The sequence below is a fragment of the Homo sapiens genome, chromosome 4 (genome assembly GCF_000001405.40).
Source record: "Homo sapiens chromosome 4, GRCh38.p14 Primary Assembly".
NCBI classification, from domain to species: Eukaryota; Metazoa; Chordata; class Mammalia; order Primates; family Hominidae; genus Homo; species Homo sapiens.
The window spans coordinates 168,838,612-168,864,076 of record NC_000004.12 but is presented as its reverse complement, the minus strand read 5'-3'; the positions used below and the strand labels follow the sequence as shown (position 1 = coordinate 168,864,076).

At 40.9% G+C, this 25,465-nt stretch overlaps 1 protein-coding gene and 1 long non-coding RNA gene across 28 annotated transcripts in view, besides 1 other annotated feature; one reads left to right on the top strand and one right to left on the bottom strand.

Annotated features, from left to right (window-relative positions):
* LOC102723331 (uncharacterized) overlaps positions 1-19,699 on the top strand; it is a 33,246-nt gene extending 13,547 nt beyond the window's left edge. Inside the window, exon 2 of the long non-coding RNA XR_007058358.1 lies at positions 104-19,699. This is a non-coding gene — a long non-coding RNA (uncharacterized LOC102723331). The remainder of the gene's footprint in view (positions 1-103) is intronic.
* Positions 1-25,465, bottom strand: part of PALLD (palladin, cytoskeletal associated protein) — a 431,390-nt gene that overhangs the window by 64,365 nt on the left and 341,560 nt on the right. The window lies entirely within an intron of this gene.
* Positions 22,572-23,086: an enhancer, noted in NCBI's record as "OCT4-NANOG-H3K27ac hESC enhancer chr4:169762142-169762656 (GRCh37/hg19 assembly coordinates)". NCBI's record gives its function as "activates a minimal SCP1, AML or CMV promoter by ChIP-STARR-seq in naive and primed H9 embryonic stem cells {active_cell/tissue: H9 hESC(naive and primed)}" and the evidence as "EXISTENCE:reporter gene assay evidence [ECO:0000049][PMID:30033119]".

Genomic DNA, 25,465 nt, shown 5'->3' with positions numbered 1-25,465 from the left:
TTTCAAGCTTAAATATGATGAAATTGTTAAAGGACTATAGTCCTAATTAAAACTAATACAGAATATACTTAATCACACTTCTGTTCCTAACTTGTCCTTTTAGGCATGATCTTATCTCTTGATTGTGGCCACCCGTAAAGAAAAGCGTATCTCTAATCTCAGAAGCACAAGGAGTTCATACCAGGAAACCAAGATTAGTAAGTATTTTTGTGGTGAATACCTTTTGAATAAGACAGGATTAATGTAACAGTTAAAAGTATAGAAATATAAAAGTTACGAACTTACTGGTGATTTTTTTCTTTGGTGTGGACATTTGTTGATCTTTAAAATATATCACAGGAGTAAATAAAAGATCTATAGAATTTACAAAAATGTCAAAATGAACCAGAAGACAATAAAGTCACTCAAGATATATGTTAATGACCTCATAGAGGAAACTTTTTTTTTCCTTTCAGGAACATCATGCTATCGTCTTTCAAAATTACTATGTAGGATCAGTGGAACACTAGACACTGACAGAGTGGGCCCTGCATCCTTCACTGCTTCCTCATGGAGGGATTTCCAGGACAGGGGCCCTCTTTGCCTGTCTCCGCCCTTGGTGGCGAATATGGGTGGGGGATGGATCTGGGCATGCTCACATCAGCCCCTCCCTTGCTCTTCTCTCTTTGGATCTTGCTTGCAGTGAGAGGGCTTTTTCTTCCTGTTTTTTGGAGGGTGAGATCTGCGCGGAGCTGTTCAATGCTGCCTGGACTGGGTATTAGTATGCTTAGCTCAAGGTGAAGTATAAGCCAACTCATGAGGCCCAGCAGTGCATCCCCTTTCTTCTCTGAGTTCTCCCCAGTACAAATCTGGTGCTTGGATCTCTTTCTGACTCCTCAGTTTATCTGTCAAATGGTTCCAAACTTGAGTAGGGTGAGAGGATCATCCCCCGTCAAATGTACATTATTCATACACTGTAATGGCGTAAAAGAACCCTAGACACATGGACTCCCTTGCTAATAAGTGCACCTTCAAAGCGATAGTCATTATTTAGCATTTATCGGAAGAGGCTGGCCCCAGCTCTGGTGAAGGGCAGAGAAGGTGTGGGTGGCCTCACGTGTTCTCAATGTCACAAAATGATAGCATTAAACAGACCCACTCCCTCATGGAAGGCAATTTGACGACCTTCTATTGATATTGCAACATGTGTCTCTGGCAGCAGATCTCAATCCTTATGTAAGGGATATGGGAAGACTTCCTCCACTTCATGTATATGCTTTCCCTAAGCAGATCTGGCAGATGCAAATTTATCCATATCTTTTCATTTCCATTGAAGTTTTAGTATCCACATCCCCTCCTGAAGACAGAAAACTTGTCTTTGTAACCCTTTTTATTTCAGCTGATCTAAATAATTAGTTCAGATTTACCCTGACAAATGGCTTTTACCATTTTTAGTTTCTTACCCTGTAACAAAATACTGCCATCAAGTTTTGATTATGAAAATGGCTGAAGGCAAGGGACCATATGAGAGAGCGCAATCAACAACATAGTCTTTTTGCCCAACAGAATTGGACATTTTTGGCTTAGAGAATTAAAGCACAATGACTGTTCCTGAAAATCAGTACAGTAGTCATAATAAAACTTTTTTCTTGGCTGGGCACAGTGTTGCATGCCTGTAATCTCAGCACTTTGGGAGGTTGAGGTGGGAGGATCACTTGAGCCCAGATCTTGAGACCAGCCTAGGCAACACAGTGAAACCTCGTCTATGCTAAAATAAAAAAAAAAATTAGCCAGGTGTGATGGTGTGAGTCTGTAGTCCCAGCTACTTGCTTGAGCCCAGGAGAACAAGGCTGCAGGGAGCCATGATCATGCCACTACACTCCAGACTGGATGACAGAACAAGATCCTGTCTCAAAACAAAGCAAACAAAACAACTTTTTCTTTTTAAAATTGAACTACTTATTATAACTGCAGACATTTCTATACAATATTTCTTTTTAATCTCTTGAAATTAAATCCTATTTTTTAAAGAATACACATGATTAAATACAAACAAAAAACCCCTCCAAACCCTATTGGATTTCCAACCTCAGCTCACAACTGATACCTTATACAAAAGTTAACTAATATCAGTCTTCAACAGGCCAGGGATGGTGGCTCATGCCTGTAATCCCAGCACTTTGGGAGGCCGAAGGGGGAGGATCACTTGAGTCCAGAAGGTTGAGACCAGCATTGGCAACAAAGTGAGACCCTGTCTCTACAGAAAACTAAAAAATTAGCTGGGCATGGTGATGCATGCCTGTAGTCCCAGCTACTCGGGAGGCTGAGATGGGAGGATCAACTGGGCTCAGGAGGTCATGATCTTGCAGCCACAACACTCTAGCCTGGGGGACAGAGCGAGACCCCATCTCTAAAAAAATAAAAAAAAATTAAAAAAAATCTTCAACATAAATGTGAATCTAAAACTATAACATTTCAAGAAGGAATCATAGGAGAAAATCTTTGTGACCATAAGTTAGGTAAAGATTTCTTAGATAAGACAACAAAAGGGTGATCCATAAGAGAAAAAAAATTGATGAACTGGGACTTCATCAAAATTAAAAACCTCTGCTCTTCAAAATGCAAAAGATATAAAGAGAACACTGAAAGTACATCTTCATCTCTTACTTTTTCTTCCCAGTCCAATTTCCCTCTCCAGCATCAACCAAATACTGTTACCATTTCTCAAGTTCCCTCCTAAGCCAGCCCATACATAATAAGCATATAGATATAAGCTGTATGGTGGTTCTAATGCTTTTTTACTTAGTTTTTTTTTTTTAATTCCATATTCAATAGATTTATTCGATTATTCAGTGTAGTCCTACACTCCCAAAAGCATTCACTGGTCATCCATGTAGCCGAGGCAAAATTCTTTGCAAGTAATTAGTTTTGAAGTTTACTTAAGCAAATATGGAAACAAAACATTAAAATTTTTAATTCGTTTGCCTTGGCTAAAACAAACAAAAAATATTTCCTAAGTTATCAGCTCACTGTGTATTATTTAGGCCATACTTCATATTTTAGCTATGTCAGCTGTGGTATCCTGGGGGAAAGATGTTGTCATGTGGGGCCTCACACCAAAATATTATTTGAAGTACATAGAAACCAGCTTCTTCAATTTCTTCCATTTCTTTGGGCATTGTGTTTTCAAATAATGAAATTCTCTCTTAAAGAAAAATGAGGATCTCTTTAGTCACGTTGAGGACTAGAGGAAGTATTTTCCTCAGGCTGAATTTTTTGTTTTTTGAGACTCTGTCATCCCAGACTGGAGTGCAGTGGCACGATCTCAGCTCACTGCAACCTCCGCCTCCTGGGTTCAAGTGATTCTTGTGCCTCAGCCTCCCAAATAACCGGGATTACAGACGTGCACCACCAGGCACAGATAATTTTTGTATTTTAGTAGAGACAGGGTTTCACCATGTTGGCCAGGCTGGCCTCAAACTCCTGACTTCAAGTGATCTGCCCACCTCGGCCTCCCAGAGTGCAGGATTACAGGCAGTAGCCACTGCGCCTGGCTCTCAGGCTGAATTAAAATCACCTTTCACACTCCACAGCACAACTTACTTCCCAGATGACTCACTCAACTATTGGAGTGAGCAAGAAGAGTACTCCCATCTCTCTTTTACTATCTTGTTTTATTTACTTCACAGCATTTATTACTGAAATGACTACACTGATGTATTTCTTTTTAGACTTTCTGCCTCTGCCCCGACTCCAGACCTGGGAGTCCGAGGGGGCTTCTGTCCAGCTGTGCATGGCTGTGGTTGAGGGTCTGGTGTCAACAGATCCTTCTCCACCATATCAACTCCATTTCTACCACTGGGATTGGCCCTTATTACTGTTACCTGGTTTGTACACTCAGCAGCAGTTTTCAGACGCGAAAAGATAAGAGATGAGCATTTAGAGTAATTATCATCAATTCTGCAGCACTGTTTCGGGTGTAAAGGTTGTGTGTTCACCCGATTTCACATCCTCCAGACCTGCACTGTCCCACTATGGTAGCCATTAGCCACATGTAGCTATTAAGTGCTTGAACAGTGGTTAGTCAGAATTGAGACGTGTTGTAAGTGTCAAGTACACAGCAGATTTAAAAAATTTAGTTTAAAAAGATATTGGAAAATGATCTTATGACAATTTTTATATTATTTACATGTTAAAATAATATTTTGAATATATTGGGTTAAACAACATGTACTATTAAAATTAATTTCTTTTTCCTTTTTAATGTGACTACTAGAAAACAAACTGCATATGTGGTCTTCATTGTGGTGGTTCACATTCTGTTTCTACTGTACAGTGCTCCTTGAGGCCTAGTTCTAAAAGTTCCCTCACTTCTCACAAGGGTTACTGTCTGTTTGTCCTACTAGAGGTTCGCCAGATGCTCTACTGAACAGGAATTATACAGCAGAGCCTCAGAATCTAAGGACTTGGTCTCTGAGGGACCGATATTTGGGGTAGTGGTGATAGATTTGTCCATGATAGTGGCAAAAAGTTGTCCTCCAATTTTTTACAAGTTTCCTATTTGCTGACTTCCCATCAAGTAATATTAGAAATGATTCTAAGCTTGCATTTCTCAAGCCTTTCCACTCTTCTAAGACATCCACACATGGTCAGCATGTCTGGGGCACCGTCGGTGCTACCCATTGACAGATGAGAGCCCTCCATCTCCAGCAGAGCCTTCTCCTTCAGGCAGTGAGAGAAGACTCCGCTTCCATAGACAGGATCATCCTGTTCAGATCAACTACAAGGCCACAGTTGTAAAGGAGTCAGTCCTGCCAGCAGCTGTGAGCATGGATAACTATCAGTCATGGGGAGGAAGCTGTCGCCTCCAAAGATTTAGGGTAAAAGGCAGAAGATAGCAGGCTGTGGGGTGGAGATGAATTTGACTTTTCTCTCACGTGAAATGCAGGTAAGCCCCGAGTCATGTAACAGAGCAAAGCAAAAATGTTGTAACACGTTGACAAGAGGAAGGAATGACCAATTATAACGCTGAGGTTTTATGTTTAAATGCTACAAATTTTTCTCCAGTTTATAAATACATTTAAATAAAAGTCTTAATGCAAAAGTACAAAAATGATAGTCTACTGTCTTAAGACGCACCGACTATTTTTATATTTAGAGTAAGGTGAGGGGGATGGGAGTGAATCCAGATTGAATAGTGCCAGACAATGGGCAGAACGGGACTCTTAAACACACATTATCTTTCTTCCAAGAAACTACTATTGCTTCCTTCTTAAAGCCCACTCTGGATTTTTTTTTTTAATTTTTATTTTTTTTGAGACTGGGTCTCATTCTGTTGCCCTGGTTGGAGTGCGGTGGCACTATCACGGCTCACTGCAGCCTCGACCTCCCAGGCCCAAGTGATCCTTCCACCTTAGCCTCCCAAGTAGCTGGAACCGCAGGTATGTGCCACCGTGCCCAGCTAATTTTTTTACTTTTGTAGAGATGGGGTCTCCCTGTGTTGCCCAAGCTGGTCTCCAATTCCTAAGCTCAAGCAATTCTCCTGAGTTGGCCTCCCAAAGTGCTGGGATGACAGGCGTGAGCACTCTGGAAAGTTAATACAATCTTCTGAACCAAGGTATTGTTATTAGTTATCCATCTTTTGACCCAAAAACCAGTATCTCAGAGAAACATGCCAAATTAAAGAGATTACAATGGATACTTTCTTCACACTCGAAATAAAAGATAGCATCTTAATAAAAGTATTTATGCTTGATCAAACTTTATAAAAACAAGATGCCGGGAAAAATATCTTCCAGCCCATTTATGAGTGTATAACTTAAAGAAAAAATGACCCCTGATGTACTAACTTTGTGTGGCTAAATATAGTTAGCAGCCCTCATGCTTCATAGCCCATTTTCCCCTGGAATTCAGCTAATATAAATAAAACAAATGAAGGGAACCTGGCCCCCCTCCATGAAAATTACATCATTCTTCCTTATTAGGAAAACTTCTTCAAATCTGAAATTTTGCTCTAAATAATCAGAGTTTCTATTTCTCAATGAATAACAAGGCAGGGGGCTGCCCTCATCAGAAGTGTTGCTGTGTGGGGAGCAATGTGTGTGACGTACAGGCTCATTTCAACAGTGATGCTTCCAACAGTAGTAATAGTAACACCAGGGAAAGCATTAAGGTGCATTTAGGAAAGCGCATGTCATTCTCTCCAAATTTTTGCTTTCTATATATTTTTGGATATATGCCTGTGTTATGGTAAACAGAAAGATGAGAAAGCAGAAATTCTTAGGTTCTTTTGTAATACTGGTTCTGACCAAAGATTTTTGTATCTGATTGATCTTGATTAACAGGATGATGCAGTGGTTAAAAATCTAAGGCAGATCTGCCACTGCTCCCTGAAACACACTTGAGTTTCCTCTTAAGTGATGTCTAATTTGTTAGACAACTTTAGGTTATCTATTTTTGCTCTCAGCCGTCAGCATATTAACACGCTAGCTGATCTAGGCTTCTTGGTATGAAAGGTAAGATTTATGAAGTTAATGTGTACACGTAAAATAAAAATCAATTAAAACAAATGTCTTCTTTAAACATTACCTTTCCATGGATTTAAACAGGGCTGCTTATCAGTTTGCTGATTCTACCTGGTGTTTCACCTTTCTTTCATCTTGACGTAAGGACTATTCTCATGAAAATTAAGTAAAAAAGAGTTGGAAAAAACACTTCTAAATGTGAAGTCTACAATGGGGTTCATGAAGCTAGTACCATATCCTAAAACAAATAATTTATAAATAAATCCTGAGATGTAATGGAGCATTAGGGTAAGCAAACAATGAAGTCGTCTTACAGAGCGCTGCCTCTGGCAGGCAGCATACACCAGCCCACTCACCGAGTTCTCATTTTCCACTTTGGCTAGCTAACAAAATCAGAGTAGTCAATCACACTGTTCATGAAAACATGGAGGGCGAGGAATGGCCATGAGAGAAGGGTTGTCGAGAGAAGGAAGACTGGTCTAGAAAATACGAGGATGGTTCCAACAGTTATAAGTTTATACTTCTAAATCTCTTCATTTCTGAACTTTTCTAACATTTATGTTTTCAAAAGAAAGAAAAACAAATATGCCTTGTGCTTTGTGCTCAGTTAATTGGACTGTTGGATGGTCCTCACTGTTTCCCATAAAGGGCCCCTGCACTGGCAAATTGGGAAAGCATTTCTATTCAAGGACTCCAAGAACTTCCCAGTTCCAAAGGACCCTTCCATCCTCTAGGAGTTTTATTCATATACTTCTTAACTGGTTTAGGAATGAAAGGTAATGCTGTACTTCTTAGCCATGTAGGCTCTGGAGTTAGACTGCCTGTGTTTAAATTTTAGACTCTATTATTTACTGGCTGAGTTTCTTTGATCACTTAATTTTTCTGAACCTGCTTCTTCATCTTTAAAATGGGGGTCATATATTTCTCAAAGGAAGATATAAAAGCAGCTGACAAACATGAAAAAATGCTCAGCATCACTAATCATCAGAGAAATGCAAACCAAAACCACGATGAGATACCATCTCACACCAGTCAGAATGGCTATTACTACAACGTCAAAACAACAGCTGCTGGCCAGGATGTGGAGAAAAGGGAATGCTTATACATTGTTGGTGGGAATGTAAATTAGGCCACTGTGGAAAGCAGTTTGGAAATTTCTCAAAGTTCTAAAAATAGAACTACCATTAGACTCAGCAATCCCAGTATTGGGTATATACCTAAAGGAAAATAAATCATTCTACCAAAAAACCCCACATGGTACATGTACACTTGCTCCTCATAGCACTGTTCACAACAGCAAAGACGTGGAACCAACCTAGATGCCATCAATGGTGGATTGGATAAAGACAATGTGGTACATACACACCATGGAATACTATACAGCTACAACAAAGAGCAAAATCATGTCCTTTGTAGCAACATGGATGCAGCTCGAGGCCATTATCCTAAACAAATTAATGCAGGAACAGAAAACCAAATACCTCCTGATAAGTGGGAGCTAAACACTGTGTACACACAAACATGAAGATGGGAACGACAGACACTGGGTACTCCAAAAGTGGGGAGAGAAGGAGGTGGGGAGGGGCTGAAAAACATCCTCTTGGGTACTGTGTGCACCACCTGGGTGAGAGGATCAATGGAAACCCAAACCTTAGCATCATGAATATACCCTTGTAACAAACCTGCCCATGTAACCAGTGAATCTAAAATAAATAAAATGGGGGTCATGATAGCACTTCCCTCCTAGACTGTGAAGATGAAATGTGGTAGTACATGTGAAGTATTTTGAGCAATGTTCAAGCATGCCTTTGATAAATGTGAGCTATTAGTATTCAGGACGGTCATGTAAATAATTCAGTGTCCAAATGTGGGCCCTTTAATCTGGGACAAAGGCTGAACTATATAGAACTCTAGACAACTGGCAGATTGACTGTCCTGGGGAAAAGGGAACACGTAGCCATCCCATTCATATTACATAATGTCAAGGTCACACACTGCACAGACAGACTGACTTACCAAAATTAACAAAATTTGTGTATCACTGGGTACTAGAGTGTATAAGAGATCAGATGGAATAAGAAAGCCTTAATTAAAAAATCATGAATTATAATTTAAAGCATTTAAGATAGACGTACCACTTACATGTTAATCACTCATTTTGCTGAACTTAGAACATTCCTTTTCAGGCTGGGCGAGGTGGCTCACACCTGTAATCCCAGCACTCTGGGAGGCCGAGGCGGGTGGATCACGAGGTCAAGAGATCGAGACCATCCTGGTCAACATGGTGAAACCTTGTCTCTACTAAAAATACAAAAATTAGCTGGGCGTGATGGCATGTGCCTGTAATCCCAGCTACTTTGGAGGCTGAGGCAGGAGAATCGCTTGAACCCGGGAGGCGGAGCTTGCAGTGAGCCAAGATCGCGCCACTGCACTCCAGCCTGGCAACAGAGTGAGACTCCGTCTCAAAAAAAAAAAAAAAAAAAAGAACATTCCTTCTCAGCATTATCCCAAATATATTGTAAAGTTTAGTTTAAATTATTTTTACAGTGTTTTCATCCTTCTTCATGGCCTCCTTCCCACAAATATCAGGAAAATGGGAACTGATGAGGAGAGTAACATTAAATAAAAAGGGAAGTACAAGTAATTTTATTGTTGTGCTCAGCACAGACGGACCCAATTACAGTCCTACAAGTACCTGGGTTGCTTCCCTCCTGACCTGGAGAACAGTCCCCTGGTACACTGTCATTGTGGAAACAGAGAAAACACATCTGTTAAAAATGAGCTTTAGTGGAAAAAATTCAGCTGGCATTCTCTTTTCCTCTCTGTCGTCCTTTTTTAATAGCACTCTTATGTAAGGTCGTTACTATATATAGTAGAGAACAGGGAGCTGTGATTTGACCTGTACAGAGGCAGTCAGATATGGGCCATTTCCTACCTTGGTGGGCCCAAAGGCAGCTGAACCTGCTGGACAGCAGGAGCGGCGGCACCTGGAACCCTTGCTCTTTGAGACCTCAGCACAGCTGCACGGCTGTTCTCTTCTTGCATCTTCAGCTTCCCACCTACAAAATCGGCACAGGGCCTACTTCTGATCTAACTCATTGGGGATGCCTGTGGAACCTCAGAGAACATCTGGGAAACATTTTTTTGGCTTTGTCAATACGTATTTTTCCTCTGTATATCCATCCAAGATTTATGCAAGAGCTAGAATTGTAACATTCCAGTCTAAGAAACCTAGACCGTCCTACCATCCCTGACCAGCTTGTCCAAGCAAGATAACTGCTTGTTTATTGTCTTTTTCTCCCACTACCAGTCTTTCTCAAGAGCAGAGTTCACATCTATTCTGTTCAACAATGTATTATCTTAGATACAGCATACCATCCATGAATGAATGAATGAATGAATGAATGAATGACTCCATGAGTAAACAGAGGCAGTAGTAGCAAACATTTACTGAACACTTACCAGGAGACTCTAGACAAATTTAATCTTTCGTACCTCTGTTTTCTCATCTATGTAATGGGGTAATAATAGAACCCACAGAGTAGGGCTGTTGCAGAGATTAAAAGAGAATAGTGCTTAGTTGTTACTGGAATCCTCTCTTCCTCTTTAGTCAGTGGCACCATCCCTGATCCTGTTTCACAAGTCAGAACCGCAGAAGTCAGAGCTGCCTGTCTCCATCCGTCTCATCTCAACCATCATGAGTCCTGCCTTTCCCTCTCCTACACTTCTCCCACACGCTGTTCTCTTCCATGCAGCCAGTTTCAAAAACCACATGGAATCCTGTGACTCTTGACTTCCCTGTCCCCAGTGACTTTCGCTTGCTCTTGGGATCAACTCCAAATTCCTTCACCTGGCCCACCAGGCCTGGTCGCCCCCTGTAGCCTCTTCTTTTCTCCCTCCCACCCCCATTCTCAGAGTCTCAGCCCTTCCCTTCAATGTGCGATTCCTCCTGACTGCACACCTGTCTCTGTCTCCCATTTAGCCTTCAGATGTCAGGTCAAACATCACTTCCTGAGGCTCTTTCCTCAGGCCTCCAAACCACACGAGGTCTTTCAGTTTCCTGCCCTCAGAGGTTGTGGCACATTTTTTTCGCAGCATCTGCCACACCAGCACTCCTTACATGTCTTTTATCTGGTCTCTAATAATTCCACGCACCCAGGCCCTTGAGGGTCTTTTCTAGCTTTGGTAAAATGCGAGCTGGGAGGGAGGATGCTGACAGAGGAGTGAGTAAAGGCTGGTCTAGAGGGCATCTGAGAGCTTCTGTGGACTTCTTCTAGAAGGACCATTGATCATCTGTAAAACAACCTGTATTTGACTTTTAAGGCCAAAATTTCTAAGGAAAAAAATGTCTGTACACACATGGGAAAAGCTAGTAATTATGCTGGCTAAAAGAAAAAGTTACTCTGTGAGATGCTCATATATGAAGTCCTCTCAGATGTTGCTATCTCACTTCTCATTTTCCTATCAATAATTAGCTATGTGTGACTTTTCTCCCTTTACACTGCAATGTGGTTTCTTCTGTTTTTCCTAAATGGCTAAAATTATGAAAACTAATTTATTAGTCCTAAAAAGTAAACTTGACATTTTTTGTAAAGTTTAACAGTAAATAAAGAGTTAATATTACCAAAAACAACTGAGGCAGGGAAAAGGGCAATTCCAGTGCAAAGTCTACTACCCACTGATATCTGTGATACATAAAATATTCTAAACACAACATGTAGGTTTCTTGATATCCACACCTAGAAAGCATTAGAGGGAATTAAGAGAAATTGTAGCCGATTAACTCATCTAAAAGCCCACAAAGCAGAATAAATCTAATTACCATGGCTTAAGGCAAATAATACCTCTTGCAAAATAACCAAAAATTCAAGCTTAAAGAGCAACTACACTCTTGTAGGCACTACTAACTTTGTGGATGGTTCTTTCCTTTTGAGACAGGGTCTCACTCTGTTGCCCAGGCTGGAGTGTGCAGTGGCATAGTCACGGCTCACTGCAGCCTTGACTTCCTGGGCTCAAGCAATCCTCCTGCCTCAGCCTCCCGAGTAGCTGGCACTACAGGTGTGAGTTACTGCACCCGGCTAATTTTTGTAGAGATAGTCTAGCTATGTTGCCCAGGCTTGTGTTTTTGTTTGTTTCTTTTCTTTTCTTTTCATTCTACCTTCTTTCCCAGCTCTCTCAATGAATTTAACAAATACTGATTGAGCTTTTACTACATGTTGGGTGCCAGAAATCTAGTAGTGATCAAAACAGACACAGCACTTGCCTTCATGAAGCCACATGAAGCCAGCAAGTACAGTGTGGCCTAAAACAGAAGAATGTTTAACTGCATGAAGGCAGGGTGCTTTGTATTGCTGGGCTTGGTGTATATTTCTTTGCTATCTAGTTTAATATATTGAGCTTTACATCTGTGCCAGCCTTGCATGTCCATATACCTTTGGCAGGCATTTCTAGTCAGGTGGCATGGGGCAAGGGGTGTGCTACGTTTTAAGTCCCTCATTTCTCCAGCCTGTCCAGGTAGTGTCTACGTCTCCAACTCACTCAGGAAGGCAGGAGACTTCCAGATTCACTCCACTGGTATCAAGAGTTAGGTTCTGGTGAGAGAGCTGGCAGAAGCTTCAGAGGACCTTGCGTCTTAGCCTCCTCTTTTTTTCCTGTCCTCAACAGCAAGTTGTTGCCTCTAATTTTCAGAAAATCGCAGCACATTTCCAGGAGACCTGAAATGCGGTGGACTGCTTCAACATTAGATTATTTTGGCAGACAGGGATAGTATTTAGTGTAACGTCACCTATATGCTTATCAAATAGGGGTAAGGGAGTCATAATTATTTTAATGTCTAATATTAACGGTTCTTTAATAAATTACTTATTAAAGTTCCAAGGTATAAGTCTTTTAATAGAAACAGGTTTCAGCCAGGCGTGGGGCTTATGCCTGTAATCCCAGCACTTTGGGAGGCCAAGGAGGGTGGATCACTTGAGGTCAGGAGTTCGAGACCAGCCTGGCCAGCATGGTGAAACCCCGTCTCTATTAAAAATACAAAAATTAGCTGGGCGAGGTGGTGCTCGCCTGTAGTCCCAACTACTAGGGAGGCCGAAGCATGAGAATTGCTTGAACCCGGGAGGCAGAGGTTGCAGTGAGCCGAGATTGCGCCATTGCACTCCAGCCTGGGTGAAACAGCCAGACTCCGTCTCAAAAACAAAACAAAACAAAAAACAGGTTTGGAATGAATGCAAAAAATCTACGAGAGACTGGCCAGTTGTACTATTAAGTTATCAAACAGTTTTATCCTGCCTCTCTCTTCCATTTTATATATTTAAGTCACTTTTAATTTATGGGGGTATGGAGGAGAGACATATTCTGGAGATGGAGAAAATAAAGGTAAGCCAGACTGTGGGTCCACAGGCTCTGCAGCAGGGAATAAATGTTGGTGCAATTGGCAGGTTAGAGACACATGGGAGGAAGGGAAGAGGATGTAAAGAGACAAAGACAAGAAGGGAGACTGTAGGAAGCTGTGTGTGTGCTGCTGGCCTGGGAGACGGCACCCACTGACCTCCTCTGGCCTCTCAGTCACACTTGGGCCAGATTAATTCATTCTGCAAACTTTTCTTGCCTGCCCATGGAATGCCAGGTACTGAGCTAGGGTTCGCAGACACATGCTAAGCAGCAGTAAAAAGAGCTTATTTTGTATAATACTCAGCTACTACTGAGCTAAAACTAGGAGAGCATATTAGAAATGACAGACTTAGGCTGGGCGCGGTGGCTCATGCCTGTAATTCCAGCATTTTGGGAGGCCGAGGCGGGCGGATCACCTGAGGTCAGGAATTCAAGACCAGCCTTACCAACATGGAGAAACCCCGTCTCCACTAAAAATAAAAAAATTAGCCAGGTGTGGTGGTGCACGCCTGTAATCCTAGCTACTCAGGAGGCTGAGGCAGGAGAATAGCTTGAACCTGGGAGGTGGAGGTGGTGAGCCAAGATCGCACCATTGCACTCCAGCCTGGGCAACAAAAGCAAAACTCCATCTCAAAAAAAAAAAAAAAAAAAAAAAAAAAAGAAATGACAGACTTACAAATTATATAAGTGAGAAAAGGAGACTGACTTTCCCTACAGTATACCGCATTTTTTCCAGGCTTTTCAAACAGGTTTGCAATGTGAACAATCGTTATCTTCTAGAGGACTTTTATGAAGGATTTTAGTAGTGCAGGCCTGGACATACCATATTAAAAACAAACCATTTTAGAGTCAGGGAAATGTTTCCCTCTTATCTTTTAAATTCTTGGTGGGGAGTAGGGGCTGAAGGGGGAGCATTCATTCCTTCCAGGAGCCAGGTTGCAGAAGAAAGCACTCTCACACAGGAGCAGGAGGGCTGAGGCCTCGCGAGCTACCCCCACGCTTGGTTCTGGCAGATCACTTACATTTCAGGACCTAGGCAGATGAAGTTTCCTGGCTATATGCTAAGACAAAACTTTTCCTGCTTAAAATCAGATCTTTCATTTTTTAGTATTGAGTATAAGGGAGGATTAAAGGAGTTTATTGCTTTAAAAATTAAGGAAATACACTGAAAAACTGGATAGGAGTTTATTCATTGTATTTTATGACACCAAAGATGAGCAAATGCATTCGTAAGTATACATAATAAAATAAATATAGCCTGGCATCTCTTTTAATGGAGGTAGCTTGGGGGTGAGAAGAGGGAATGGGGAAGATAAGCTGGGGGCCAGCTCTGAATTCTTTATGAGCCCCCTGATGCAGCCAGCCACACGTGGTGTGAATCTCAATAGTGCCAGTTCTTCTTTCCAAGGGTCAGTGTTTTTTTTTTTTTGCTTTAAAAATGGGGATAATAATACCTGTAATGAGATTTCTTGTAAAGTTTAAGTGAGGTTATAAATGTAAAAGTCTAATGTCAAATCTGGCTACCAAGAATTCAAATTTTCTTTCACTTTCCATCAATAATGATAAAACGTGAATATTAAGCATGGTTTGGATTGAAAACCTTCTCAGGGTCTCAAAGTCTAGTCGAGAATTCAATTCAGACTTTAAAAAGCAGACATTCAGTTCTCTCCAGATTTGTGAATGAATGCATTGTTACTAAAGAAGTTTCAGTGCCAAAATATACACTGTCTCTTCCTTTCTCCTTTTTCTTCTGCAGCTAAGTCGGCCAGAGCATTCTAGAAATCACCTTAAAAACGCATCCCTCTTCTCCTACTGGAGTTTATACAATGACAAAAATCTGATCTGGCTTTTTCAAAAAGCAAACAACAAAACATCCAAACAACATAACCCTGAGTCTTTAACAGAAAGCTGGTGCTTGCACCAGGGGCGTGCAGACGTCTGGAACGCATTACAATCAGCTCCCTAAGGGGCAGCTTATCTCTTCCTCTGATGCTATCGGTTTGCCAAGGAAAGTTAAAGACAAAAGTCAACTGTTGCACCCAGTTGGAATGTGAACATGTGGGAGAACCTGAAATATACTAAGACTAATTTATGTTCCGATGGGAGTGGCTCTCATGGTAAGGACTGAAGCAGTATATCCTGCTTTTTTAACGAATTTTTTAACGAAAAAAATTCTCACAGCCTGCAGGAAGAGCTACAAAATAACCCCCTCTCATCTTTACTGACTGTAGTTAGTACTCTCGTGTTGCATTTTAGGGAAAGTTCATTTGTGTCTGCAGTGGACTTCGAAGTTAATCATACCACAAAACTGTAGAGAATGAACATCTTGAAATTATTTCAGAAATAAGAGCTCCAGGTAGCCTTTGAGATTGGTAAAGTTTAGAAATAAAGTATACTTACAAAGCTGCATCTTATGACGTTGCAAAAGACTGATTTAGGATCATTATTTGGTGTGAAATACATTTTGCCAATGTAAGCCTTTCCTTTCAACTGTTTAAGGCATAGAATACTAGTACATTCTACATTTAATGTTTGAATTCTACCAGTTTTAGAGCTCAGAACTCAAATTAGCATCGTTCTAAGTTTGACAATAACCCTCTTTTTGCTTTTAATAGTGTCTCCCTTCATGTACTGAGTGTGCCTACGTTTTCCTCGAATTGTTTTCTCATCAGTGGTGGTGTGAGAAGCCTTCTTTTAGGAGAAAAAACACAGAACACCACCAAGTAGATCTGTGTCTAAGATGGCCAGTGCATTCGGCACACTCTCTGGGCTGACAGGCACTGAACAATGGCTCTTGCTCAATAGGCCTGGTTTCCAGTCACTGACAACAACGATCAGTACCTTCAATCTCTAAATTACACAAATTTACAGCTTTGATTTTTAGTCTTAGAAGCCATCAAGGACAGGCCCCAGGACAAAACAAAGTGGCTGGCTCCCATCTGCTGAGTAAGCAGAAGGGACAGTGGAGGAGTTCCTCTCAGTTTGCTTCACTTTCACTTTGCCCAGGGGTGGGGTGGGGTGGGGTGGGGTGGGACGGGGGTAGGGTTGCCGGAGGAGGCTAACTCAGTCCTCAGTCACCACCTGAGGACCACTCTCCAGGAACTTAGCACCCCCTGGGCTCAGTTTTCTTAGAGGTTAAATGAGTAGATTAGGCTAAATTCTGGCTCTAAAATTGAGTAACTATTACAGGGAAGTAAAAAATAATTCTGAATAATACTGATTGGGAAATAGAGTGTCAGAATTAGTTCTACAGCTAATTAGCTCTCTCTTAATATGCCTGGGACTTAGTTTCTTCCTTTTTTTTTCTTTTTTAGAAAAGGAATATTCATTGTGAGAAACTGAAGTATCAGAAAGTATAAGAGTATAACTGGATTGTTTGTAATACAAAGGATAAGTGCTTGAGGTGATGGATACCCCATTTACCCTGATGTGATTATTACGCATTGCATGTCCATATCCAAATAGCCCATATACACACCTATGTACCCACAAAAATTAAAGATAAAATATTAATTAAAAAATAAAGTGAAAGTAGTACGATAATAAAGTAAATGTAAAGAATTTCCCACATAACCACCAATCCTCATACAATTCCACTCCACAGGGCAAAACACCAATAAAATCTTGGTGCTATCTTTCCAGAACCTTTACTATACAAATATAAATACTTACAACACCCATATGTTTACATGTTTGGGTTTTTGTTCACAAAAGTTGGATGAAGCATATGCACATTTTCCCTCAGTGATCTTGTATCTTTCAACGATGTATCATGGGTATCCTTCCATGTTGGTACATGAAGGTTTATTTCATGCTTTTGAATGGCCTCATAGTATTCCATAGTATAAACCATTCTTTATTAATGATAGACATGCTCTCTTCAAGTACTCATTAGTGCAAATAGTGTAGCAATAAAGCTGCCTGTACAACTAATTTGTACTGTATACTTGTTTTGAGTTTTCTGTGGCAAACATGTCTAGAAATGAGATTATTGGGTCAAAGGATATGTGAATTTGACATTTTAATGGGTATAAATTGCCCTCAAAAAAGTTCTTAGGACTTTATCTGAAAACAGAGGAAAGAATAGATGATCCTTTTCTTTTTTCAACTGAGCTTCCAATTCAATTAAGAAGCCTTAAAAGCTGGAATGGCAGATGGGAGCAGCTTGCAATTCCAGTCCCCTTTCAACCAGCCCACTAATTTCAGGCCTTTTCTTTTTTAGCAAATATCAAAATTCTGTTTTGCTTTGGTCTCAATATTGTCAAATTAACATTTTTTCATGGTAATATTGCTAACCGTAAGCGAATTGCTTATTTCTAGTAGTGGGTAAGAAATGGATGTCCTGGTACCCACTGGATGCCATGGACATGTACCCAGTGATGGTGATGCTGACACCACCAGTGTGGGTACCATACCCACACTTTGAGAGCCTCAGCTTTTCAGAAAGCCCTTTAATTCTTCGGAAGAAGCCTGCAGTTAGAGGACTCCTATCTTCCTCTGGGTAGACTGTGATTTACATGTATTTGAATGGTAATCAGTCACCTTAATTAACATAGCTTTTCTGTTACATCTCACTACCATGACATGCAGGCTGTTTAACAGGTCACCTGTAAAGAGGAAACTGCAAAATTCCACATGGGCTTCCTGGAGTTCCTCTTACAGACCATACCTACTCTCCCTCGCATAACGGGTGTTTAAAATTCATTTAAGGCAACTAGAAATAATTCCATGCCGTTCTCATCTTATAAAAGGAACTCTTTGTTGATCAGATGTTATTAGTGTTGAAATTGATTCCTTATGTATTATTTAAGGTCTTAGGTTTACAATAATCACCAAGTACCTATAGCTGCTTAAATTACCCATATCAAACGGACATATTTAACTTTCAGTTGTCCACGTTATAAAAGGAAACATGAGAAAACTTGAGACTTCCCCTTGACTGTATGTAGTGGATCTATATAGTACTTCCAATCTATTTTCTGTTCTAGATCTTTTATGTAAGAATGAAAATAGTAAAGCGTGCAGTGGGCTTAGGGTTGAGCAAAGGGACAAGTCAATATTTGTACATGCATGGTTGAATGCATATTAGAGAAGAGGACTTGGTATTGAAATGACATTCAGTTAAGGGACAGAAGAGTAGCAAAAAGAGGTATCCTAGAACAGCTACTTGCCATCTCAGATTATTGCAAGAGGAAGCCTCACTGATTGAGACCACATTAATTTGAAATCTGTGATACCTCTGAGATTTTCACTAACAACTAAAAAGGGGGCTTGTCAAATAAATCAGTAGTATAACAATTGGCAAAAGTGCTGCTTAAGACAAACGACTTTCAAGCCCTTGGGAAGCATTCATTACATTACTATTTAAAACCGTGGCTTTACTTCCCACTGGTACTTTCTTAGTCTTGACTAGCTGAGTTCTTTGTATGTATAAGTCTTCCTTTTTACAAGAGGTTTTATGATTTAGGAATCTCTTAAACTCTAACAACCTGTCTCGTGAGTACAGTTGTCCCTCGGTATTTGAGGGGGACTGGTTCCAGGAACCCTTCGGATACCAAAATCCACACATGCTCAAGTCCCTGATAAAAAAATGTCCTAGCATTTGCACATCACCTACATACATCCTCCTGTATATTTTAAATCATCTCTAGATTACTTATAATACCTAATGTAAAGGCTATATAAATAGCTGTCATGCTATATTGCTTTTTTTCTTGTATTATTTCTATTGTTGTATTACTGTTTTTGTTTTGTTTTTCCAAATATTTTTGATCTGTGGTTGGTTAAATCCATGAATGTGGAACCCAGGGATCCAGAGGGCCAACTATTATCTAAGACAGATGATGCTATTGGAAAAGAAGAAAGGTGTTAGTAAGGGTCCTAAAATTCCTTAAAGGACCTAGAACAATTTCTCCAATGATATAGACAGGTAGGAAATATTTTGTTCGATTTCTGACCGTATCCCTTGATAGAAAGCACATTTTCATGTTTTCCATGGCACTTTGGGTGTGGAAAGCAAGGCCTTCCACAGCTGGTAAAGCCTCCCTCACCTCCTCTGCTCCGGTGCCTCTCTAGCCACACCAGTCACCTGCCATCCTCCGGACACACAGCCCTCCCCCCTCCAGCTTCTCTACCCAGCTTCAGCCTTCTCCCAAACTCTCCACTCTCAGCTCTTGGTTCTCTCCTGAAGCTTCTCCTTACTCCCCCAGGCAGAGCTGGTCAGTCCCTCCTCAGAGGACACTGAATCTGTTTCACCCACAGAACTAATCAATTCATTCTGCATCTGGGCCCCTCCCTTCCGAGCCTAACCCATGATGGCCTGGTCAATGTCCTACTTAGTCGGGAATGCTGAGCACAAAACAAACTCAGTACATGTTTGCTGAATAAATGATACTGGATGTGTCTGCTAGCTTTTTGAAGCATTTGGAAAGACTTTCAAGCACGTTAATAACTTTTTAATATTTGGAGTTCACCCTTTATTAGGAAGTTGGCAGGGAAGATACGCTGTGGGATGCCAGAGTCCAATCTCCTGTTGCACAACTTTTTTTTCCACCTCATATATTCTAATAAATCTCAGATAAAATTAGAATACCACAGAAATCACAGGGTCTTGCGCTGATGGCACAGTTTTTGACGAGCGACTGGGACTTGGAGAGAGAAAAGTTCAGTGTTAGAAAAGCTATGAGCTGCTCAACCATTCTGAAATCCACAAATTCTTGAAATTCTCAAGGCTTGTGGGGTTCCCCACTTCTCTCTTCTGTGTGCGTATATGTGTATTAACAAGAATAAACAATGATCTCACAGGACTGTTGAGAATTAATACAGAATGTAGATAAAATACTTTGTAAATAACCAGCATCACTGAATATGTATTGACTAAATGGATAAAGCAGTTCACTTGGACTTGGGTAGAAAAAGCCCAGTCAAGGGTGGTCTTTATTTCTAGGCACACTCAATCATGGTTTTTAATCTTTTACAGGTTATTTAGTCTTCTAGAAAAATTGCACCCAAATAAAAACAAACAAAAAACAAACTGTCAAAGCTCTTTGATTTGCACAACCAGATACGTGACTTTCCTCCTAAGTAGGGATTCAGAGTAGATAGACAACCTAACAGCATCCTTGTTAACGCGTGAGGAAAGGACACCCACATCTTCCTTCTCTAGTTTGCTAAAATTCAAGGTTACCGACTCCTTTTCACTTTCACTAAAGTTCTTAGTAGATATGCTATAAAGCTGTAATTACTCCTGAGGCACCCATGAATAAGAGAGGTGCCCAGGCTTTGGCGAGGTGTGGTAAATTTGGCACGGAAGTTCAATTTCCGTAACGTTGTTTCCAGCCCAGGAAATGTCTCAGGTGGCTTGGTATGGGTGAGCTGCTGCCAGTTTTTCGGGCATGGGCTTGCCATCCTTGGCTGACATCATTTGACTGGATTCTTTACTCTGCTTGCCCCACAGAATACTTTGCATTCAATTAGTCTCCATTTTCTCAAACACCCCATGCGATCACCACCATGTCTATGTCTCCAAAAAGCCTAATATGGAAAGCCTCTAATTCATGTGTGGATTCTCCTTGCCTATGAAAATAGAAACAGCAATTACTACTGTGCAAATCAAAACTACAATTGGAAAACTTTCTAATTGTAGCATCATTATTACCTGGAATAATGGGCTACAACTATGACTGCGGCATTATATCAACAGAATTCTTATACTACGTATGTGCTACACTGAATTTGTTTATCCTGATGTCCAAGAACTATCTGAAATCATTAAATGTCAAACATAAATTTAAAATACTCCTTTTAAGGAGTATTAGGTAAACTTACCTAACTTGAGCTAAACAAGGAAGATAAGCGCTGACCAGGTGGAGCCTGTGATTTTGCAAGCCAAACTTTCTTCTGTTCCCCTGGTCTAGAGGTTGTATCAATTCATTAATCATCCCATGTTTCCCAAATTAGAGTATATCCAATGGGTATTACCTCCTGAAATATAAACTAGCATAAATTTTCTAAAAGGTTTGCAGGGAAGTCTTTCATGTTCTGTGGCCCACTAATGGCAAACCTTCCTGCATTTAGAATTCCTTTCTGGCAAAACCACAGTAATTATGCTTAACAGCTGGTTAGGTCAGGTGGCACTATGTATTTCCCTGGCCTTCGTATACTATGACATATACACAACTACACATTTGTGGGACCCCCGTCTATCATCATTTTTTGGGTAACGAGCACTTGGGATTTTTGAGAAGCTTTTATTTCTAATATAGTTTTACTGATTATGTACAGGCTTATAATTTGAACTAGAATGTGGCCCTTACTGATGTCTGAGATTCATCTTTTTATTTCTCCAAAACCGGGGAATCATATTCCATAAAGTCATCTACTTAAATGTTTTTACCAAGTACTCCATGAGGGCATGGAGAGAAGACGGAGCAGATAGAGAGAACTGGATAGGAATGCTTTTTAAGTACCTCCTTACATGACAGGGACAGCAAGGCTGAGAAGAAAGTAGCACTCCTCTCCTCTAGTCTTTTTGCTTTAAGAGAAGACTCAAGGCAATGTAGGTTGTCTGGGGAAAGGCAGCTGGCTGTGGATGGCCTGAATGAGAGCTACCAGCCCATCAGAAGATAGACTTGGAGTGACAGCCATTTTCTCAGCCAGTTAAGAAAATAAAAGAAAGTATCACAAAGCAAGAGGTCTGCAAGTCCCAGACACATTTCTACACTTGACTCCATCATTAACTCATGATATCTACACCAGGATGCAGATTTCTGGATGGCCAAGGAAAACATCAGGTGTCTGTTAAGCTTGCCAGAAGATGATCCATATGTTCAGTCAGATCCTGTGGTTTCATAAGAGTTCCACCTTTAATCAGACTGCTGTGAGCTGGAATGTCATGTTTTCCCGATTTGTAATTTCAGTTGAATGCCCATCACCAATAAAAGTGAAATTGTTTTTCTTTTTTTAACTTTAAAGAATGTAGCAGAAGGGATGCTGTATCTGAAACCAAACCTAAAAGCACGGTGAATGAAAGGAGGAGCAGATTACCTCAAGGGCAGAAGAAAATCCAAAAGCCACATATAAAGAGGGGAATCAGACCCATAATTCATAGCAGAGCAACTGCACAACCAAACTTTGTTTCAAGATATTCAGTCTTCATCACATTCCTTGCTAACTCTTCAAATGACAGTATTAACAGTGGAGCTGGATTACTCTGTAAATGCTACATACTTGCTTTATTTTTCACATAATAAACCAATAATTGTTGGACTACATAGGATAGGAAATCTTTCACTATCAGAGTAATTCTGAAATATATGCTGAGAGATTTCAGTAGACTGCTATGGTGACAGGAAACAATGGGAGCTAAATGACATTGAGCAAACATTCAGGAGTCCAAGGTGATTATTCTTTCATTTTCAGATTTGTATTTAACTTAATAAGTAGACAAAATCAAAATAAACACATAGGAAAACTGAGCTCCAAGCAGAGTTGTAGAGGCTGCATGGAGCTTACCCAGGAGCTCAGATATTATAGAGCCACAGAAGGAGCAGACAGAGAGCGGTCAGGTGGTACCTAGAACACAATGACTGTCACTCCGTGGCTGAGGTGTCTACTCAACCCCACTGCTGCATTTTCTCCTCAACTGCCAGCCCAGGGCAGCTGGCCAAGTTGTAGAAACTGCCACTGTGTGGTTCCCTCAGTAAGCCAACCGCACTTTTCCATTGGAATTGCTTTCCCAAATAAACTGGTCTTCAGGATTTTTAAGCATTTACCCTTAAAAACTTTCCTCCTGAACATGTAGTCAGTGTTCTCAATTTGACTTTGCCAGATTTGCCATCTGTGCTTAAGCTTTTGGAAAATTCTGCAGTTGCCCTTGATGCACATTTTCAAGTGGTAAGATCACTCTGCATCTCAAAGGATGCTTGCTGTGCTGAGAAGAAAAACACAGTTGGCCTCAGGAGATCCAGGTCCAACAGCTCACCTTGGGAAAGTCCCAACCTTTATACATGTTAATTCTTAAACATTTATATAGTGGGCCGGGCGCAGAGGCTCACACCTGTAATCTCAGCACTTTGGGAGACCGAGGCAGGAGGATCACGAGGTCAGGAGTTTGAGACCAGCCTGACCAACATGGTAAAACTCCATCTCTACTAAAAATACAAAAAGTAGCCAGGCGTGGTGGCACGCACCTGTAATCCCAGCTACTCAGGAGGCTGAGGCAGAAGAATTGCTTGACCCTGGGAGGCAGAGGTTGCAGTGAGCCGAGATTACACCAATGCACTCCAGCCTGGGCAACAGAGCGAAACTTGGTCTCAAAAAATAAATAAATAAATAAATCTGTATAGTGGAGGTGAGGATATCTACCCTACCCAACTCCCCTACTAAACAGCAGCAAATGTCCTGGTATTTTTAAACGAATGGAACTTGACCCTCCCATATAGCACTGCCTTTCACATATCTCAACCTTGATATGCTCTGATGAATCTAAATTTAGGCTTTAAAAAAATCTCTCAATATAAAATCATTCCAAATAACTTTTAGGTGAGCTGTCAGACTACGTTGTTCATTTGTACCCTGAGTCAAAGAAGTTGATCTGGGTAAAGGTCTGGCAGCTTCACACCTCTGGTCGTTTCACTAAGCATCCACCACGCTTCTGAGTAGCTCTGGAAAAGCGGGAGATGAACTGATATTACAATGGTATACTTTTCTAGGTTTGCAAACTGACAACTCTTGGTGGTTGTGTATAAAGAAGGGCCAAGGAATCATGAACTTGGACAGCTGCCTTATTAGCCCTAGCTGATTTTTTCTGCCCTTCAAAGACATTTGCAAGTTCTTGTATATCACTCTCTCTCTTGCAAATAAAAGCTTCTCCCTGGAGAGGCGAGCTCCTTATCTCTTGTTCCTGGGTATCTTACAGTCACTTGCCAGGACAGATTTATAGTTGCTGGTGTGGACAGTATGTACTCAAACGTTCTCTGTTACATAACAAAATGGTGCAATGTGAGAGAAGTATGGAATACATTTGGATTCATTTTGTCTCTTAATAGAGCCAAAAATAGATTTTTTTTAAAAAAAATCTACATCTTCCACACAAATACATCCATTTATAGTTATGAAGACAAATAGAAAATGAAGCTTTACCAAGAAAAACCACAAGTTTTTCTAACTCCAGTTTTGAATCAATCTATTTGAGGTTTCACTGGAATACACTTTATTTACTTCAATATTCTGTCCCTGGGCAGATTTTGCAGACTATAGCAGAGCCTAGTCAAATGACAGGATCTTTAGTCAACCTTGAAACACGGAGAGCCCAATTTTCTTACTTTATGCTCTCTTTGGGGGCAAACTCATCCTCTCCCAAGGCTTAAATTACCATCTGTGGTGATAATTCCCAAATCATGGTCTCCCACTCAGATCTCCTCCCAGAATGGCAGCCTAGGTATATAATTGTGTCCTGGACATCTCCACTTGGAATGTTCAAAACTAAACTCTTGTCCTTACCTCTGTAAAACGGCGGCTCCATCTACCCAGGGTCTGGCAGAGCCCTGGGAGTAACCTCTGATGCACCCCCGTCCCTTACCCCTCCCATCCCCCCTCCCTCACCCCTCCCATCCCACCAACACCACTTGTAGTCAATTCCTTCTCCTAACTAGCCTTGGAATCCACCTGCTTCATCAGTTCCTTTGCCATTCGCTCAGCTGAGATTACCAATATCTAGTTCTCGTATTATTCTAACCGCAAGTAGCTTTCCCGTTTCCCATTGACTACCTACAGAGCGCCCACAACAGTGTGCCAGCCAAGAAGGAGTCATGAAACAGACATAGAAGGCTTCTTCACTGCCCCCAACAGGGGCACCATCTGGTGGGAATGAGGCTTGACTTAGGTGGTCCCAAGAGAATACTACAAAAGAGTATACAATTAAGAATTTTTAGCCAGTCGCGGTGGCTCACACCTGTAATGCCACCACTTTGGGAGGCTGAGAGGTCAGATCACTTGAGCTCAAGAGTTCAAGACCAGCCTGAGCAACATGGCAAGACCTCATCTCTATTAAAAATACAAAAAATTAGCTGGGCGTGGTGGCGCATGCCTGTAGTCCCAGCTATTTGGGAGACTGAGGTGGGAGGATCACTTGAGCCCAGGATGTCAGGGCTGCATCGAGCCATGATCATGCCACTGCACTCCAGCCTGGGTGAAGGTAGTGAGTTCATGTCTCAAACAAAAAAAATTATTTCTTAGTCTAAAACTTAATCCGTTATGGGAATGAGATTAACTCAATGAAATAATTAACAGTAATTGCTATACAAGTACTGTTTTGGGAACTAGGAACATCACAGCATTTCAGAAAAGGGAGAGAACAATGTGACAATTAGGACGAAAAGCTTAAATGAAATTTCTGGACAAGTGTGTAGGTTTCCTGTAGCAGTCACTCAACAAGCATTAACCATACACATAGTAAGTGCAGGACTCTGCTCCAAGTAAATGACACAGCAAAAAAAAAAAAAAAAAAAAAAAAAAGGAGTTAGAAGATAATCTCTCTCCTCAAGAAGTGAACTAGAGAATTCTGATCTCCA